The sequence below is a fragment of the Homo sapiens genome, chromosome 3, assembly GCF_000001405.40.
Source record: "Homo sapiens chromosome 3, GRCh38.p14 Primary Assembly".
In the NCBI taxonomy this organism is placed as follows: domain Eukaryota; kingdom Metazoa; phylum Chordata; class Mammalia; order Primates; family Hominidae; genus Homo; species Homo sapiens.
In genome coordinates this window covers 47494703-47514477 of record NC_000003.12, presented here as the reverse complement: position 1 = coordinate 47514477, position 19775 = coordinate 47494703, and the positions used below count along the sequence as shown (strand labels likewise).

At 49.1% G+C, this 19775-nt stretch overlaps 1 protein-coding gene and 1 pseudogene across 31 annotated transcripts, besides 3 other annotated features; one reads left to right on the top strand and one right to left on the bottom strand.

Annotated features, from left to right (window-relative positions):
- On the top strand, nt 766-18838 carry ELP6 (elongator acetyltransferase complex subunit 6). 31 transcript variants are annotated; one of them, NM_001424222.1, is made up of 8 exons: nt 766-941; nt 3252-3330; nt 4224-4294; nt 8456-8562; nt 10030-10148; nt 12627-12828; nt 16046-16192; nt 18281-18838. In NM_001424222.1, the coding sequence occupies exons 5-8, from the start codon at nt 10045-10047 to the stop codon at nt 18407-18409; spliced, it is 582 nt and encodes a 193-aa protein (NP_001411151.1). In that variant the 5' UTR covers nt 766-941; nt 3252-3330; nt 4224-4294; nt 8456-8562; nt 10030-10044; the 3' UTR covers nt 18410-18838. The 31 variants fall into 31 exon arrangements, 30 of the variants coding, with proteins under 30 accessions (NP_001411151.1, NP_001026873.2, NP_001411139.1 ...); NM_001424226.1 differs by lacking the exon at nt 766-941 and adding an exon at nt 1066-1157; NM_001424211.1 differs by lacking the exons at nt 766-941; nt 8456-8562 and adding exons at nt 1066-1157; nt 3111-3166.
- Nucleotides 802-911: an enhancer, noted in NCBI's record as "active region_19817". NCBI's record gives its function as "activates an Ori minimal core promoter by ATAC-STARR-seq in GM12878 lymphoblastoid cells {active_cell/tissue: GM12878}" and the evidence as "EXISTENCE:reporter gene assay evidence [ECO:0000049][PMID:35858748]".
- Nucleotides 1242-1351: an enhancer, noted in NCBI's record as "active region_19816". NCBI's record gives its function as "activates an Ori minimal core promoter by ATAC-STARR-seq in GM12878 lymphoblastoid cells {active_cell/tissue: GM12878}" and the evidence as "EXISTENCE:reporter gene assay evidence [ECO:0000049][PMID:35858748]".
- Nucleotides 9058-9951: an enhancer, noted in NCBI's record as "H3K27ac hESC enhancer chr3:47546017-47546910 (GRCh37/hg19 assembly coordinates)". NCBI's record gives its function as "activates a minimal SCP1, AML or CMV promoter by ChIP-STARR-seq in primed H9 embryonic stem cells {active_cell/tissue: H9 hESC(primed)}" and the evidence as "EXISTENCE:reporter gene assay evidence [ECO:0000049][PMID:30033119]".
- Nucleotides 14071-14637, bottom strand: BOLA2P2 (bolA family member 2 pseudogene 2; annotated as a pseudogene).
- Nucleotides 18839-19775: the final 937 nt, after the last annotated feature.

The window sequence follows — 19775 nt, the reverse complement described above, 5'->3', positions numbered from 1 at the left end:
CTTTAATTCTGGAACCTACCCCTGCCCCCATTGGTACTCTCTAATCCCACTTTGCTTTTCTCCACACAACTTTTCAAGATATAATTCCGTGTCGGCCGGGCGTGGTGGCTCATGCCTGTAATCCCAGCACTTTGGGAGGCCGAGGCCGGCGGATCACGAGGTCGGGAGATCAAGACCATCCTGGCTAACACGGTGAAACCCCGTCTCTACTAAAAATACAAAAAATTAGCCGGGCGTGGTGGCGGGCGCCTGTAGTCCCAGCTACACTCGGGAGGCTGAGGCAGGAGAATGGCGTGAACCCAGGAGGCGGAGACTGTAGTGAGCCGAGATCGCGCCACTGCACTCCAGCCTGGGCGACAGGGCAAGACTCCGTCTCAATTAAATAATAATAATAATAATAATAATAATAATAATAATAATAAATTCCCTGTCCTTTGTTTTTGTTCATCGATGTAGCCCAAGCTCCCAGGAGTGTGGGGCATACAGAAGGCGCTTGACAGCCACGTGTGGAGAAAAGGAGCCCGGGGCTGGGCAGAGAGCGAGGCCAAGGGAAGAAGAATACTCGGTCGCGTGGAGCCTTGGGGGCCCACTGGGAGGGCTCGGGCGCCACGCAGATCTGCGCGGAATGAGCCGCCAGAGGCCGCTGGCAGTCGCACAGAGAAGCCCATCGTTTCCTACCACCTGGGACTCGACGGACGTCTACGCGCGTGCGCAGCGGTCCCATCGAGGCACCCGCCTCATTGGCTGTGGCTGGCTCGCAAAAGTGGCATTGCGCATGCGCGCTTCCTTGCGCGAGCCGGGCTGTCGGGTGTGTTTTGCTCTCCAGCCTCCGTCGTCTCTGCAGCACTCCGGGTTCTCCTCCAGAGCGCTAGTCCCAGGAGCTCGGAATGTTCGTGGAACTTAATAACCTGCTTAACACCACCCCCGACAGGGCGGAGCAGGTAAGAGGTCCCGCTGGCCGGAAGGGGGCGGGACCTGGCAGGGCAGCGGAATACTGCATCCGGGAGGCGGTGCGCACGACCCCGGGGAATGGCGCGACGACCCGGCACGGGGTACCTGGGAGTTGTAGTCCGCAGAGGATCGACCCGGGGATTGGACTGGAGGCTTGGGCCCGCCGAAAGTGGGCTTCTGGGCCATCTCGCATATTCTCAACGGCTGTGCGTGTCCTTAAAAGTCCCTGGGAAGCGGCCGGGCGCGGTGGCTCACCCCTGTAATCCCAGCAGTTTGGGAGGCCGAGGCGGGTGCATCATCTAAGGTCAAGAGTTCGAGACAAGTCTGGCCAAGATGGTGAAACCCCCGTCTCTACGAAAAATACAAAAATTAGCCGGGCGTGGTGGCTCATGCCTGTAATCTCAGCTACTCGGGAGGCTGAGACAGGAGAATTGCTTGAACCCGGGAGGCGGAGGTTGCAGTGACCCGAGATCTCGCCACCGCACTCCAGCCTGGGCGACAGAGCGGGACTCCACCTCAAAAAAAAAAAAAAAAAGTACCTGGGAAGCATGGCCGACAGTGGGGTTGGGTTATATTCGCGGACGTGAACTGTGGCGCGCTGTGCATGTTCACTGGGGTGGGGGGTCCCAGGCGCTCAGAGGAGACTGCAGAATAGGCCCGAGAGGAGAGGGGAGTTCGTTTCGCCGCCGTCTTCATGGGCGAGCTTCCTAACCGCCACCTCGCCCCGGAGCAATTGGCACATTGTATTGAACGCTGCTGTTCTTCTTACTCTTCCTCCTTGTGATCTCTAATAGAACTGTTAGAAGCAGGACAGAGCCAAATTGGCTTGGACCAAGTCCGTCTTGGGCACCCCAGGCTGGCCTGTTCTCTCCACCCTCCTCACACTCCGGGGTACCTTGAAACCTTTCACATTTTAACGTAGGAGTAACCTCTTTCAGGAGTGTATCTTTTGGCTTATTTATTTATTTATTTATTTTTGATGGAGTCTCGCTCCCTCGCCTGGGCTGGAGTGCACTGGCGCGATCTCGGCTCCCTGCAACCTCACCTCCCGGGTTCAAGTGATTCTCCTTATTCAGCCTCCCAAGTAGCTGGGATTGCAGGCGTGCGCTACCACACCGGGCTAATTACTTGGCTGATTTTTTTTTGTATTTTTTGTTAGAGACGGGGTTTCACCATGTTGGCCAGGCTGGTCTGGAACTCCTGACCTCAGGTGATCCGCCCGCCTCTGCCTCCCAAAGTGCTGGGATTACAGGCGTGAGCCACCACGCCCAGCCTGGTTTATTCATAATCTTTGTCTTCCTAATGAAATGGTAAACTCCTCCAGGCAACCAGGATACTAAGTGTCTAAAGCCTTTTTATGACCCCATAGCGCCAAATTGTAGCTTTCAGTAGATCCTTGTGGATTTTAGTTGCCAGGCAGTTCTTGTCCAGATGACTCTGATTACCTTGCCAGTTACCACTGGCACTTCCAAAGTCAGCCTAGGGCCAGGTGAAAGAATGGAGTAATCAAGTGGGCACCAGGAAATGACAGCACTAGGGGTAACACTGAAGGTCTGACGATGTGATCTTTCACATTTTGTAAGTGAAAAAACCTGAAGCCCAGAGAAGTTAAGGCATTTGTGGAAGGTCACACGGCAAGGAGGTGGCATGCATGATATCACTTGATCCTGACCTTCCCTGTCACTGACAGAAATAGAGGTGAATGGAGCAGGACAGTCAGGCTCTGCAGAGACCACCCTTAGAGGTCTTTCTAGAGCTCTCCATGATCAGGCCTCTGAAGCAGGGCCATTGGGTGAACTTTGTTATCAGACATCTGTATCAGCAACTGCTTCTTCCTCCCTTCTCCCTCACCCTACAGAATAGAATTGGCATCAGAATATAAAGTAGTTGGCAGGGAGGCCTTTTGAAGGCCTCTTCCAGTCCTAGCAATCTGATTTTCACTGGAGTCTGATGGTAAAAGCATCCTTTGTTCAGGATCCAATTCTTCCTAAGACTGGTTCCTGAGTGACTAACATGAGAAGTGAGGAAGAGAAATAAGTTTATTCTCTGTTTGCTTTGAGGAGGTGGAGGCTGAGATATGCTTGCCTATCATGAGTAACAATAAGTGATAACTTTAGTCATGGATTTTCCATAATTTTGACTTATTTTCATCATTTCAGGGTACCTTAGCATGTATGTCATTAAAAAAATAAACTCTTCAGGTGGAGAAATTAAGGTGTGGACACAATTGACTAGATTTCTGCACTAAGCTGACCTCTTTCCAGGGAGTCTAACCTTTTTGTGTTCCTTGTAACTTTTAGGGGAAACTGACTCTACTCTGTGATGCCAAGACAGATGGGAGTTTCCTTGTACACCACTTTCTCTCCTTCTATCTCAAAGGTATGGGACTCATTGATGCTGTAGAAAAGAAACCCAAGATGGGTGCAGAAATAATAAAAACCAAAACTATTTAAGGAAGCAATAACAGCATTTACAAGCCAAGCCTTGGTGTTGGGATACCTAGGGGGGCTATTTTATTAGGATAACAGGTTACTAGGCCATCTCGTTCCTTCCCCAGCCCTGCCAAAGAGTGGCATGTGCTCACTGTTTCTGTGTCCTACCTTCCCCTTCTCCACCCACTGTGTGGACATTGCCTCACTGAGGTCCTATGTGGCCTCCTGATTTTGTTGCTCCTTGGTCTTTGTGTATCTCGAGGTCTCTGGGCACTCGACCCCATTGACACTTTGTCCTGGCAGTAGATGCTTCCTAAAGAACATGGCTGCTGCATGGCTGGGCGTAATGGCTCATTATCTATAATCCCAGCATTCGGGAGGCCCAGGTGGGAGGATGAGCTGCGGCCAGGGATTCGAGACCAGCCTGGGCAATATAGGGAGACCCTGTTTCTACAAAAAATGCAAAAATTAGCTGGGCATGCCTATAGTTCCAGCTACTCGGGAGGCTGAGGTGGTCAGATCACTTGAGGCCAGAGAGGTTTAGGCTGCAGTGAGCCATGATTGTGCCACTCTAGCCTGGACAACAGAGCGAGACCATCTCAAATGATAATAATAAGTACCTAGTACTACATCTAACAGAAGTATATCTTAGAACCAGTAAAATAAGATATAACTGTTAAATAAGAAAAAAAGTACATCTTAGAATCAAATTGCGTATGTCAGGTTGCAAAGCCTCTGGGTCTCTAGATTTGCCTCAGTGCTTTTTTTTCCAGAGGTATGAAATCAGTGAGTCTGGTTGTAACCAGAGGATTTATTTAAAATAATTGTTTTGTTTTCTAGCTAATTGTAAAGTCTGCTTTGTGGCACTCATCCAGTCCTTCAGCCACTACAGTATCGTGGGACAGAAGCTGGTAAATATTTTGGAGCTCCATGATGAGGTCCCTGAGTGAGTGTGTGTGTCACACATGGTCTAAAGCTTGGCTTTCCTGTTTGCATTGTACAGAACTTAGCAAAAGAGGGACTAAAGAAATATTGGGCCGGGCGTGGTGGCTCACGCCTGTAATCCCAGCACTTTGGGAGGCCAAGATGGGCAGATCACGAGGTCAAGAGCTGGAGACCATTCTGGCCAACATGGTGAAACCCCATCTCTACTAAAAATACAAAAATTAGCTGGGCGTGGTGGTGCATACCCATAGTCCCAGCTATTTAGGAGGCTGAGGCAGGAAAATCGCTTGAACCCGGGAGCCAGAGGTTGCAGTGAGCTGAGATCGCACTCCAGCTTGGCGACAGAACAAGACTCTGTCTCAAAAAAAAAAAAAAAGAAATCTTGGGATCCTGAACCCCTTACTCGAAGGGCTAAGGTAGCATCTCAGCATGTCTTATTCGAGACTTCGTAGAACCAGACCTGCTGTTTGTAGATGTTAATTAATCAAACCTTTCTCTACTCATTCTGGACCAGTTAAGGTTTTCTCCTTCTCCGTATGAGTTTTGATTTTCGTCCTCCTTGGTTGGAGATCACACTTTGGTCTGCTGCTAAGTTGGATGCCTCCCACTGTCTTTCCCTAAGTCTAGGGCTTCAGACCCCAGTGTGGGGAGAGGGACTTTCGTTTCCTGCCCCTCACCACATCAGACACAGGCAGGCAAGAATAAGATGGCCAAAAGGCCGATGAACTTCTTGACCTAGCCTGGGACATTACCTGTTACTAGGTGGACTTCACTGCCTGTGAATGGAAGCTGAAGGGCTGTTTTTTGGTTTGTATTTGGACAGGCCAGGCTTAGAGAGGGAGAGAACTGGGCTACTCTTCAGCAGTGATCTTTAAAATGCCAGTCTTGGGCCAGGCGTGGTGGCTCATGCCTGTAATCCCAGCACTTTGGGAGGCCGAGGTGGGCAGATCACCTGAGGTCAGGAGTTGGAGACCAGCCTGGCCAGCATAGCAAAACCCCATCTCTACTAAAAATACAAAAATTAGCCAGGTGGTTGGCATGCTCCTATAGAGTGACACAGCGTTTCAATAAAAAAAGGAAAAAAAAGGCTGGGCACGGTGGCTCACACCTGTAATCCCAGCACTTTGAGAGGCTGAGGTGGGCAGATCACGAGGTCAGGAGATGGAGACCATCCTGGCTAACACGGTGAAACCCTGTCTCTACTAAACATACGAAAAATTAGCTGGGCATGGTGGCAGGCGCCTGTAGTCCCAGGTACTTGGGAGACTGAGGCAGGAGAATTGAGTGAACCCAGGAGGCGGAGCTTGCAGTGAGCTGAGATCACGCCACTGCACTCCAGCCTGGGAGACAGAGCAAGACTCCATCTCAAAAAAAAAAAAAAAAAGGAAAAAAAAAATCTCCCAGAGATGCAACTCCCCCACCCCTGCCCCCGCAAGATATAAGCAAATCAAGTCCAGAAATGTATAAGAAGAACTATACACCACACTTGGGTTTATTAGAGTTTTGCAAAGCCGGTTCAACATTTGAAAATCAGCTATTGTAATCCACCATGTCAATAGGCTAAAGAAACAAATTCATATGATCATGTCACTTAATGCAAAAAAAGCATTTGATAAAACCCAAGGCCTAGTCATTATAAAAATTCTTGGCTGCCAGGGGTGGTGGCTTATACCTTTAATCCTAACACTTTGGGATCATCTCACTCATGGGGCGTGCATTCTACTCATTTATTTCTCAGAGGATCCAGGCATGGTGGCTCACGCCTATAATCCCAGCTACTTGGGAGGCTGAGGCATGAGAAGCACTTGAACCTGGGAGGCAGAAAGTGCAGTGAGCCAAGATCGTGCCACTGCACTCCAGCCTTGGCGAAAGAGCAAGACTCCATCTCAATAAATACATACATACATACATAAAAATAAAAAATAAAATAAAATCCAGTCTTACTATTGGACCAAGTCACTGCCTCTTCTCTGTTGGGCAGAAGCAAATGAGGAGGTGAGAGAATGGTAGATTCTTTCTTTCCCATCCTTTGCAGAGAAGGGAGAACTTCCTGTGTTAGACATCGGGGCAGGAGCCCAGGGAGAACAGTCAGGATGTAAAGAAAATAATGTTGCATTCCAGGGCTCTGCAGCATGGCTTTATGGCCACTGGATCTGTTTCAGGATGAGATAGCTGTGTGTTCGCATATCTAAACTGGCTACTTTTTCTTTTACCTTTGAATGATGATCAGCACAGCAGGAATGGCATGCACAGTACTTGGCACGTGAAGTACTGGAGCGTGAGCTTCTATACTCGTGGCATATTGTTGCACTTACATAAATAGAGTGGTAGTGAGCAAGAGCAAGGGTGATGATCAGGAGTCTTTTTCCCTGTCAGCTGCAGCTATTGGAACAAATGGTGTTGGACGTTGGAAGACCCTGGGCATTTTGTGTGTGAATGAGCAATTGAGACCTGATGTAGGGGCATGGAAAGTCTAAAGAGTTACATGTTGCCTCTTTCTCTTTTTTTTTTTTTTTTTTGGAGAATGGGTCTCCCTATGTTGCCCAGGCTGGTCTTAAACTCCTAAGCTCAAGGGATCCTCCTGCCTCAGCCTCCCAAAGTGCTGGGATTACAGGTGTGAGGCACCATGCCGAGCCCCATGTGACCTATTTCTGCACAGGTGGAGCAGTGGGTTGCACATTTAGAATGTATCACCATTCCTGGTGTTTGTTGAGATGTAGATCCTGAGTTCTGCCCTCATTCTGGAATTAGACCCAGGGGTCTGCTTTTGTTTTTTTTTTTTTTTTTTGAGACAGAGTTTCACTCTTGTTGCCCAGGCTGGAGTGCAATGGTGTGATCTCAGCTCACCATAACCTCCGCTTCCCAGGTTCAAGTGATTCTCCTGCCTCAGTTTCCCAGGTAGCTGAGATTACAGGCATGTGCCACCATACCCGGCTAATTTTGTATTTTCATAGAGACAGGGTTTTACCATGTTGTCCAGGCTGGTCTCAAACTCCTGACCTCAGGTGATCCACCTGCCTCAGCCTCCCAAAGTGCTGGGATTATAGGCGTGAACCACCATGCCCAGCCAGGAATCTACATTTTAATCAGGTATCTTAAAGGGTTTCTTAATTGGATGGTGGTTCATGAACCATATTTAAGAAGTCCTTGAGGCCAGGTGCAGTGGCTCACACCTGTAATCCCAGCACTTTTGGAGGCCGAGGCATGTTGCAGGAAGTCAGGGACTCCAAACGGAGGGACCGGCTGAAGCCATGGCAGAAGAACGTGGATTGTGAAGATTTCATGGACGTTTATTAGTTCCCCAAATTAATACTTTTATAATTTCCTGTGCCTGTCTTTACTTAATCTCTTAATCCTGTCATCTCGCAAGCCGAGGAGGATGTATGTCACCTCAGGACCCTGTGATAATTGCATTAACTGCACAAATTGTAGAGCATGTGTGTTTGAACAATATGAAATCTGGGCACCTTGAAAAAAGAACAGGATAACAGCAATGTTTAGGAAACAAGAGAGATAACCTTAAACTCTGACCGCTGGTGAGCCGGGCGGAACAGAGCCATATTTCTCTTCTTTCAAAAGCAAATGGGAGAAATATCGCTGAATTCTTTTTCTCAGCAAGGAACATCCCTGGGAAAGAGAATACGCGCTTGGGGGTGGGTCTCTGAACTGGCCCCCCTGGGCATGGCCGTCTTCTATGGTCGAGGCTGTAGGGATGAAATAGACCCCAGTCTCCCATAGCGCTCCCAGGCTTATTAGGAAGAGGAAATTCCCGCCTAATAAATTTTGGTCAGACCAGTTGCTCTCAAAACCCTGTCTCCTGATAAGATGTTATCAATGACAATGGTGCCCAAAACTTCATTAGCAATTTTAATTTCGCCCCGGTCCTGCAGTCCTGTGATCTCGCCCTGCCTCCATTTGCCTTGTGATATTCTATTACCTTGTGAAATACGTGATCTCTGTGACCCACACCTATTCGCACACTCCGTCCCCTTTTGAAAGTCCCTAATAAAAACTTGCTGGTTTTGCGGCTTGTGGGGCATCACGGAACCTACCAACATGTGATGTCTCCCCCGGATGCCCAGCTTTAAAATTTCTCTCTTTTGTACTCTGTCCCTTTATTTCTCAAGCCGGCCAACGCTTAGGGAAAATAGAAAAGAACCTACGTGACTATCGGGGCAGGTTTCCTGATATCGGCAGGTGGATCACTTGAGGCCAGGAGTTCGAGACCAGCCTGGTCAGTATGGTGAAACCCTGTTTCTACTAAAAATAAAAAAATTAGGCCGGGCACGGTGGCTCACGCCTGTAATCCCAGCACTTTGGGAGGCCAAGGCGGGTGGATCACCTGAGGTCAGGAGTTCAAGACCAGGCTGACCAACATGGAGAAACCCCATCTCTACTAAAAATACAAAAATTAGCTGGGCGTGGTGGCACATGCTTGTAATCCCAGCTACTCAGGAGGCTGAGGCAGGAGAATCGCTTGAACCCAGGAGGCGGAGGTTGCAGTGAGCCAAGATCGCACCATTGCACTCCAGTCTGGGCGACAAGAGCGAAACTCCATCTCTAAATAAATAAATAAATAAATATTAGCCTGGTGGTGCATACCTGTAATCCCAGCTACTCAAGAGGTTGAGGCACAAGAATCGCTTGAACCTAGGAGGCAGAGGTTGCAGTGAGCTGAGATTGCGTCACTGCACTCCAGCCTAGGCAATAGAGTGAGAGACTGTCTCAAAAACAAAAAAAGTTATTGAGCTTCAAGTCAGTGACAAGTAAAAAATGAAAAGAAAAAAAAAAGTCCTAGTCTGAGCAGGGATAGGCATACTAAATTTCTGCATCCCATTTTTTGTGGGGGTTTTTTTGTTGTTTGTTTGTTTGTTTGTTTGTTTTTGAGACAGTTTCACTCTTGTCACCCAGGCTGGAGGGCACTGGTGAGATCTCGGCTCAATGCAACCTCCACCTCCCAGTTCAAGCAATTCTCCTGCCTCAGTCTCCTGAGTAGCTGGGATTGCAGGCGCCCGCCACCACGCCTGGCTAATTTTTGTATTTTTAGTAGAGATGGGGTTTCACCAGGTTGGCCAGGCTAGTCTTGAACTCCTGACCTCAGGTGATCTGCCCACTTTGGCCTCCCAAAGTGCTGGGATTATAGGCGTGAGCCACCAAGCCTGGCCTAGGTTTTTGTTTTTTTGTCTTTTTGAGACAGGGTTTCGCTCTGTTGCTCAGGCTGGAGTGCAGCAGCATGATCATGGCTCACTGCAGCCTTGACCTCCTGGGCGCACGTGATCCTCCTACCTCAGCCTCCTGAGTTGCTGAGACTACAGGTGCAAACTACCACACTTGGCTAATTTTTTTAAATTTTTTTTGTAGAGACGAGGTCTTGCCATGTTGCCCAGGCTTGTCTCAAACTTCTGGGCTCAAATGATCCACCTGCCTCAGCCTCCCAAGTAGCTGGGACTCCAGGCATGTGCCACCATGCCTGGCTAGTTTTTCTTTTAATGTAACAATTAAATGGAAATACACATCTGAAAACAGTTGGGGCATTATGGGTTTGGGAGCACCCAGGGGAATGAAGACAGGCCTGTACATTGGGTGATCAGATACACTTCTGCCAAGTTTGGAAGGTGTCTTATGCCCTCTTGCAAGCTGGCATCTAGTCTGATGGGTTCCCCTACAAGGCATAGTAACTCACTCTCTTTTTCATGTTTAGGGTGTCAGCCTGACCATGGCGCGGGAGCGTGGGCAGCTTGTGTTCCTTGAGGGACTCAAGTCTGCAGTGGACGTCGTCTTCCAGGCTCAAAAGGAGCCACACCCCCTGCAGTTTCTCAGGTCAGTCAGCCTACAGCCCAGCCCGGAAGCAACACGTGGCAGGTGGGCCCAGGCAGGGTTCCTGGTTGCTGTGTGATTCCTTCTTATTGTGCAGGAGGATGGAACTGGCTTCAGGAGTCAGACACTTCATCTGGTGTTGCAGCATCATCAAATGCTGGCTCTTATCATGGGGCTGAGGGTGGACATTTGTCCCAAAAGCTATAGAGAGGATCATTTGCTGGAAGGATGGCAGAACTATATGCTTTGCTGTGTTTTCCAGCCCTGGCTTAGAGCCCTAGTATACACCTGTGCTCTGCAACAGTGGAGACTGCAATGGCAAACTATGGGCTATGGGTCAGCTGCCTGTTTTTGTAAATACATTTGTTTTGTTTGTTTTGTTTCATATTTTTTAAACTGTTTGTCTTTTTTAAAATTCCTTTTTTTTGTTGTTGTTGTTGTTGAGATGGAGTCTCGCTCTGTCACCCAGGCTGGAGTGCAGTAGCGTGATCTCGGCTCACTGCAAGCTCTGCCTCCCAGGTTCACGCCATTCTCCTGCCTCAGCCTCTCTGAGTAGCTGGGACTACAGGCGCCCGCCACCATGCCCGGCTAATTTTTTGTATTTTTAGTAGAGACGGGGTTTCACCATGGTCTCGATCTCCTGACCTCGTGATCCGCCCGCCTCGGCCTCCCAAAGTGCTGGGATTACAAGAGTGAGCCACCGCGCCCGGCCAAAATTCCTTTTTTTAAATTTATTTTTTGTAAGTAAAATTTTATTGGAATACAGCCACGTTCATTTGTTTGCATGTTGTCCTTGGCTGTTTTTGCACTACAGCAACAAATAGAGTTGAGTAGTTGGGACAGAGACCATATGACCTGCAAGCCTAAAATATTTACTTTTCAGACATTTAAGAAAAAATTTTTCCCCTGGTTTGGTATTCAACATCACAGGCCTGAGACTGGTTTTCCTGCTTTTCCTCCTTTCTGAACATTGGCCACAAACATAGCTCTGTGAAGACTCCCCGCTTGGCTGCTGTTCTTCGTCCACTACAAAGTGGTCCACACAGGAACTTCCCCCACTGCCTTATCTCTCAGACACACACACCCTTATGCAGTGGGTGTGAGGCCATGTTTCCTGACCCTGTGTGTGACTTCACACACATCCCTTAGCATCTCTGACTTGGGGTTTCCTCATTTGAAGGCAGGGGCTGGTTATACCTCATCCCAAGGTATGGGGAGATGTCTTCATTGTTAGTGAAGATAACCCAATGCCAGGGGCTCATCCCTGGAGCATAAGGCAGTAGGCCAGTTGCCCTGGGCCCTGGGCTCTGTTCCTCCACTCATTGCTGAGAAATGATGGCCAGGGGTAGTCACTGGAGAAGACGGAGATAGGCAAGCTGGCTTGTGTCAGAAACAGGTCAAATCTGTTACGTATACAGAAGCCTTAGGCCACTGCCACTCACCATCAGGGCAACTGAGTTGCTGTTTAACTTCTTCTTTTCATTTTTTTTTTTGAGACAGGGTCTTGCTCTGTTTTCCAAGCTGGAGTGCAGTGGTGCAAACATGGCTCACTGCAAACTCAACTTCCTCGGCTCAAGCACTCCTCTCTTCTCAGCCTCCCAAGTAGCTGGGACTACAGGGGCGTACCACCATGCCTGGCTAATTTAAAAAAATTTTTTTTTGTAGAGGTATAGTCCCACTCTGTTGCCTAGGCTGTTCTTGAACTCCTGGGCTCAAATGATCCTCCCCCGCTGGCCCCCCAAAGTGCTGGGATTACAGGTGTGAGCTACTGTGCCCAGCCTGTTTAACTTTTTCCAGCTGTGTATAACCTCCTGGGAAGGTTTCCGCCTGCCCAATCCAAGCTGATCTTCCAGATTCCTTAAGCTCTTGGGTTGAGAGGCTGTATGGTGTCTCTTTTTTTTTTTTTTTTTTTTTTTTGAGACAGAGTCTCATTTTGTTGCCCAGGTTGGAGTGCAGTGGGATGATCTCAGTCGTGGCTCACTGCAACTTCCGTCTCCCAGGTTCAAGCAATTCTCCTGCCTCAGCCTCCTGAGTGGCTGGTATTACAGGTGTGCGCCACCACACCTGGCTAATTTTTGTATTTTTAGTAGAGACGGGGTTTCACCATTGTTGGCCAGGCTGGTCTCGAACTCCTCACCTCAAGTGATCCACCCGCCTCAGCCTCACAAAGTGCTGGGATTACAGGTTTGAGCCACTGCACCCAGCTACGTATGGTGTCTCTTAAGGGCGCTAGGAGCTGTTTATTTTTGTGTCTTCCAGTTTCTAACACAGTGCTTTATACCTAGTAGGCCTCAGGAAATATTTGAATTACTCCTGTACATGTGCATGCCTTTTCTTTCTAACCAGATCATGAAGTCTTTGTTGCCAAGAATTGTGATACAGTTCTTTGTCCCCCTTAGCCCTCTCCTGTCGTGCTACTTGGTCCTTGATAAACATCTGTAGAGAGAGTGAAGTCTGGTAACTTTTGTCCTGTCTCTCCAGGGAGGCTAATGCTGGGAACTTGAAACCATTGTTTGAGTTTGTACGGGAGGCCCTGAAGCCAGTAGACAGTGGAGAGGCTCGGTGGACGTACCCGGTGCTGTTGGTGGACGACCTCAGTGTGCTCCTGAGCCTGGGCATGGGGGCGGTGGCTGTGCTAGACTTCATTCACTACTGCAGAGCCACCGTGTGCTGGGAACTAAAGGTACTCATGGAACTGCCTTCTCTGCGCCCACCTGTGACCTCCAAGAACTCAGACAGGTCCAGACCTCACTTGCTTGCTGTGATCTTTTTATTTGCTTGGGGTTTTGGCTTTACTCTGGCAGGCCCAGAAAGCTTTTGCAGCCACCCTGTTTTCCCTTACCTGCCATTGCTGAAAAGTAAAGCCCCCCAAAATAAAGGGATGATCAACATTGCATTCAGTGGGGCTGGTTATGTGTGGCACCGCTGCAGTCCCAGGTCTGTCAGAATAGCCTGTGTGTCCTGGGGCAAGTTATTATCATCCCTGAGTGTATTTTATAGATCAGCTAAAATAATGAGTATGAACTACTTTAAAATTGTAAAGGGCAATACAAGTATAGGATATACAATATTACCTTGATTACCAAGTTATGAGGGACAAATAGAGATTTTTGCCATAATAGAGGTTTTAGAGTTTTTGTTTTTGTTTTCTTTTGGTTAGTCAAATACAGCAGTGGGAACAGAGAAGGAACAAAGAAATCTGTAACTGGTTGTGATCATTTAGATGTAAATACTACTGCACTTAATAGCCATAATAGGGTTTTTAACAATAATAATAGGCCAATCAATAAAATAGGAATGGCTGTGGTGCCTACCTCACAGGTACCTGACTGCAAGAGTGAAGTGAGATGAAGCTTGTAACATGCCAGCACTGTGTCTGGCCCACAGTAGCCACTTGTCAGTGTGTGATGGTGTAGCTGGCAGGAACGTGTGGACAGTGGTATGGTGCGGTCAGACTGAGCGTACAGAGCAATGGGAGAGATAAGCTAACTGAGTTAGCCAGGTGTGTGGGTATCCAGCAGTGTGTGTTGAACACCTGTATGCAAAGTCCTGCCTGGAAGCTCTGTTCAGGGAACTTCTGAGGCCGTCCTGGCTACAGTTGCAGAGCCAGGAACCAGGGTAATGCAGAAAGAATGGGAGGAGGAGGAACTGTTAGGGGTGTGGAAGGCACAGTTAGGATTAGGGGGTGACAGTAAGTAGCCAAAGCCACCTTCTGCAGCCCAGCTGGGTCTGTGACCTGCTACCACCCTCTTTTTGTAAGAATACTTCTTTTAGTTGAAAAAGTAAAACTTGGGCATTGTTTAAAAAAAGAGAAAAAGAAGGAAGAGTATAAAGGGTACTTTAGCAAAAAGTGCTCTTGCCTCTCTCCCTCCCTCCAACGTGCATCCTTCCAGCCAGTCTGTACAATTATGCACATATTTGTTTTTTTTCTATATTTTTACTTTTTGTAGAGACTTGGTCTCACTATGTTGCCCAAGCTGATCTTGAACTCCTGGGCTCAGGTGATTCTACTGCCTCGGCCTCTCAAAGTATATGCACATATTTGTCTCCCTGCATTTTTCTTCACATTACTGGTAACCTGCCATCCACACTGTTCGCTACTTCTTTTTTTCATTTATTAATACACGGTATATTTTGTTGTCCATTGCCCAAAAATAACACATGGATCTGCTTCATTCTTTTCCCTTTTTTCTGGTCCTGATTTATAATTTAATGGCTGTGCAGATGCCAGTCCCTCCTTTCTGCCGTTCACAAGCCCACTGCTCTGGGATGAGGGTTTTCTGCTCAAAAGCATGGATGTGCGAGAGCCTCCAGCTAGCCACATATTTACCCGCCAGTGTGTCTGAAGCAGCAGCTTCCCCTCAAACTTGGCCGACACCACCAGGACTCGGAAGCTGCAGGCACGACGGTTGAGGGTCACGTCCTCCACCTCCATATGCTTCGCCTCCGGGTCCCACTGCAGCTTCTCCTGGAGTTATTTGGTGCTGAGTTCTGTGGCAGCAGTCCAGCTGGGGCCACAGCCCAGCAGGGACAGAACCCCAACTCAGACCCCGGCCTGGCCATGCTGCTTTGCACCCCTACAGGAGCCACTTATTCTTTTTCTTTTTTATTACTATTCTTTTTTTTTTTTTTTTTTTTTGAGACGGAGTTTTGCTCTTGTTGCCCAGGCTAGAGTGCAGTGGTGCGACCTCAGTGACCTTGGCTCACTGCAACCTCCACCTCCCAGGTTCAAGTGATTCTCCTGCCTCAGCCTCCCAAGTAGCTGGGATTACAGGTGCCTGCCACCACGCCTGGCTTTTTTTTTTTTTTTTTTTGAGATGGACTCTTGCTCTTTTGCCCAGGCTGGAGTGCAGTGGCACGATCTCGGCTCACTGCAACATCTGCCTCCTGGGTTCAAGCAATTCTCCTGCCACAGCCTCCCGAGTAGCTGGGATTACAGGCACATGCCACCATGCCCGGCTAAATTTTGTGTTTTTTTAGTAGAGACGGGGTTTCACCATGTTGGCTAGGCTGGTCTTGATCTCCTGACCTCAGGTGATCCACCCACCTCGGCCTTCCAAAGTGCTGGGATTACAGGCGTAAGCCACCGTGCCCAGCCTTTTATTACTATTCTTTAAAAATAGAGACAGGGTCTCACTATGTTGCCTGGGCTGGCATTGAACTCCTTGGCTCAATGATCCTCCCGCCTTGGCCTCCCAAAGTGTTGGGATTACAGGCATGCACCACTGTCCCCGGCCAGCTTTATTCTTTTTAACAACTGAACAGTATTCCTTTGAAAGCTCTCATTATTCAAGCTGTCACTTTTTGGCAGGGTTGACCTTCCCCTCCATTTTGGCTTGGCTAACTCCTACTTGCCCTCTGAGATTCAGCTCACATGAGCTCACCTCCTGACCTGCTCCTCCGGGTTACAGGGGATGCCTCTTCGTTGTGCTCCCATACACCTCATGCTTCCCTCTCCCTTGGTCTTATCATTCTGTATTGTCAGCATCTGTCTGTCTCCTGGGCCCATATCTCTCACTTGTTATTCCTACTGTGGGATCTGGTACACTCTTAAGTATTCAGGAACTGTTGACTGAATGAATGGTTGCCTGGCAGGATGGTGACACTTTTAGTAACATTCAGGAATTCAGGAGATTGAGCTAATTTTGAAGACTGTTGGTTTAGATGAAGTGAGCTGAAAATATGGGTTGGCTCATTATGGGTGAAATATGGGTGAAGTTGTCCAGTAGGTGACTGGAATTAGGGTCTGGGAGCACAGGTAGGGGCTGGCTGTAGCAGCAGCAGGGAGGGTGATCTGTGAGAGGATGTACAGGGGAGTGGAGGCAACGAGAGGCTGGCACTCCCTGACTCTGGGTGTCCTTTCCAGTAAGGAGCAGGCTTCCATCTTGTATCTGATGCAGGGAAACATGGTGGTCCTTGTGCACGACAGTGGAGATGCGGAGGATGAGGAGAATGACATCCTGCTGAATGGCCTCAGTCATCAGAGCCATCTGATACTGCGGGCTGAGGGCCTGGCCACTGGCTTCTGCAGGGATGTGCACGGGCAGGTATGCAGGGGCCTCCTGGGCAACAGGCTTCTTGCCCGTGTACCTGTGATTCTTGACTACATAGGGGAGAGTCAGGCCTGAGGGACTGTCTGGTTGGGACATGACTTCAGGTGGAAGGGAAACACTGGAAATTGTGAGACTTCAGGTAATAGACCTGCTCCAGATTGCGCTTAGCCTCATGGACCAGCCCACGTTTTCCATGGGGGTCCCATTTGTGACCAAAGTGGGGCACTCTTAAAGAGGAGACAGCTGTCTAGAGTGGAATGCAGGGGCATGCCATCAAATAACAGCAAAATTCCTCCGCAGTACTGCAGCAGGCGTCGTCTATTCAGGTCAACACTGTTCCTTTTTTTTTTAGACGGAGTCTTGCTCTGTCACCTAGGCTAGAGTGCAGTGGCGCGATCTTGGCTCACTGCAACCTCCGCCTCCTGGGTTCAAGCAATTCTCTGCCTCAGCCTTCCTAGTACTTGGGATTATAGGCACCCACTGCCATGCCCGGCTAATTTTTAAAATATTTTTAGTAGAGACGGGGTTTCACCATGTTGGCCAGGCTGGTCTTGAATTCCTGACCTCGTGATCCACCCCCACCCCCCTTTGCTTCCCAAAGTGCTGGGATTACAGGTGTGAGCCACCGTGCCCAGCCTGTTCCTTTTACAGGTGGAGACTCACACCTGTAATCCCAGCACTTTGGGAGGCTGAGGCGGGCTGGTCACTTGAGGTCAGGAATTCGAGACCAGCCTGGCCAACATGGTGAAATCCCATCTCTAATAGAAATACAAAAATTAGCCAGGCATGGTGGTGTGGGCCTGTAGTCCCAGCTACTCGGGAGGCTGAGGCAGGAGAATCGCTTGAACCCAGGAGGCGGAGGTTGCAGTGAGCCAAGATCGCGCCACTGCACTCCAGCCTGGGCGACAGAGTGAGACTCTGTCTCAAAAAAAGAAAAAAGAAAAACGACTTGGGGAGGCCGTACCCGTGGACCAGGGTTGCTGCCCCAACTGCTGCCACTCACCAGAACAATTGGAGTACTTGGGCAGAAACTGAGAGTCCTGCCCTGGGAGGGAAGCTGGATTCTACCCCTCTAAATGGGCTGCCATGTGGCTCTGTGCCTTCTCAAACTTCTCTTCTGGAACCACTCCCAAGCCTCCACCACAGCTTCCTGGTTAACTTCAAGTTGAGCACTCCTGACCCAATAAGAGTGGCTAGGAGTCTTGGCCCAGAGTCCTTCAGAGGCAAGTCTGGTAGGTCACACAGAGGACCAAGCCCAGCAGTACTATGTGTGTAGTGCTGCAGCAGGGCCTGAGGAGAAGGTGCTGCTGGGCAGCTGTGGCCTCTCTTCAGCCAGACCCCCAGAGCATTGTAGTCAGCAGTAACACCATCAAAACAGGTATCTAGCCTTCCTGGGCCTCTGTAGTGAATGTACAAATTCTAATGTGATTTTCAAAATTAGTCTAGCCCGCAAGTACAAAACCATGCTTAGAAGAAAGAACAAAGGGACCGGGCACAGTGGCTCACGCCTGTAATCCCAGCACTTTGGGAGGCCGAGGTGGGCGGATCACCTGAGGTCAGAGTTCCAGACCAGCCTGGCCAACATAGTGAAACCCCGCCTCTACTAAAAATACAAAAATTGCCCAGGCATGGTGATGCGCACCCATAATCCAGCTACTTGGGAGGCTGAAGCAGGAGAATTGCCTGAACCTAGGAGGCAGAGGTTGCAGTAAGCCAAGATTGCGCCACTGCACTCCAGCCTGGGCAACAGAGTGAGACTCTGCTTCAAAAAAAAAAAAAAAAAACATAAAAATACTTTAAGGGTCTTCCTCTGAAAGACTTTTTCCTTCTGTTTCCTTTTTTTTTCCTCTTTCACATTTTCTGTATTGAGCCAATATGACTACTGTAATGGAGGGGAACCCTTTATTTGTAGTTAGCTGGTGATAGGCTTTATTTTACAAGTTGGCCCCATTACCAGATGGCACATCTGACTATCATCTCATAGAGGCCTCAGCTGAAGGGCACAGAGAAGGTAGGGTGGGGTTCCCAGTGGAGCAGGTCCTGGGGTGGCTGCTCCTCTTTCATTCTTCTCTGTCTCTGTAGCTGAGGATCCTGTGGAGGAGACCATCGCAGCCCGCAGTCCACCGGGATCAGAGCTTCACTTACCAGTATAAGATACAGGACAAAAGCGTGTCCTTTTTTGCCAAAGGAATGTCTCCTGCTGTTCTGTGACCTGATTTCGGAGCAGCTGAAGCTACATAGGACTGTTTTTGGACGTGGAAGATAGAGCAACATAGCAAGAATGGGTCTTTCTCCTCTGTAGTAATATTTCAGGCTGGACCGGCGACTCCACTGTGACCAGAGGGTTGAGTGCTGCAGTGATGGCATGCCTTGGCTGCCCTGGGCCCTGTTCAGAAAACACAAGGGACCACAATCCTGCCTTTGCTGAGAGAGAGGCTGGATGCTAGACCCAAGTGAAAGGGGTCCTTTGGAGCCTTTGTTTAAATATGCCTTAGCCCCAGCTGCCCATTTTTGGTTGACAAGCCTTTCAGAGCCAGAGTGGGTATAGATGTGCCAGCCAGGAGATGGCACCGGATGGCAGGTGTGCAAGGTGACAACTAGGATAATCATGGCTGGAATAAAGTAAGTTTCCACACTGGAGCTTCCTGTGGGTTGTCTTGTTCAATTTCCATCCTGGAAAGGTACTTTCCCTTTCCCTATGAGTTCAGCGAGGAAACAGACCTAGAGAGGTTTGGAAGCACACAGGCTGCACAGCAGGCTGTAAGTAACTGTGCCTCACTCCACAGTCCACACTTGCTGACTGACAGTCATGGAACCCAGAGGCCAGCTCCCCACCCAAAGGTGGGGACCTTTGGCTTCTCCAGTTTCTGTGGTGCCTTGCCTTTATGCCAACAAATCCTAGCCATCAAGGGCCTGGCACCAGGGCCTTGGCCACATGAGGCCCTGTGTAGGCGCAGGTGTGTATGGTCTTGGTGAGAGGGGTAAGGGATGTTCTTGCTGCCAGGCGGATCAGGCCTTGGCGAGTTGCTGGTGCCTCCCTCACCTGTGAAGACTGCAGGAGGTGGGCTCTTGCCCCGCATCCTGTAGATGACAACTAGTCCCACTCAGCCCCTCAGTTGAGGTCACCTCAGAGTAGACACCAGGTGTATTCTCTTAAAATGGCTGCTTTTTTGGTATATAAATTATATTACAATGAATTTTATCTTAAAGAAAATGAAAAAATAATACTATTTTGCTGTATACTAAGGAACTTACATAGCTGTTATTTTCTTTTCTTTTCTTTTCTTTTTTTGAGACAGTCTTGCTCTGTCACCCAGGCTGGAGTGCAGTGGCCCGATCTCGGCTCACTGCAAGCTCCGCCTCCCGGGTTCATGCCATTCTCCTGCCTCAGCCTCCTAAGTAGCTGGGACTACAGGCACCTGCCACCATGCCCGGCTAATTTTTTGTATTTTTAGTAGAGACGGGGTTTCACCGTGCTAGCCAGGATGGTCTTGATCTCCTGACCTCATGATCCGCCTGCCTTGGCCTCCCAAAGTGCTAGGATTACAGGCATGTGAGCCACCATGCCTGGCCTTTT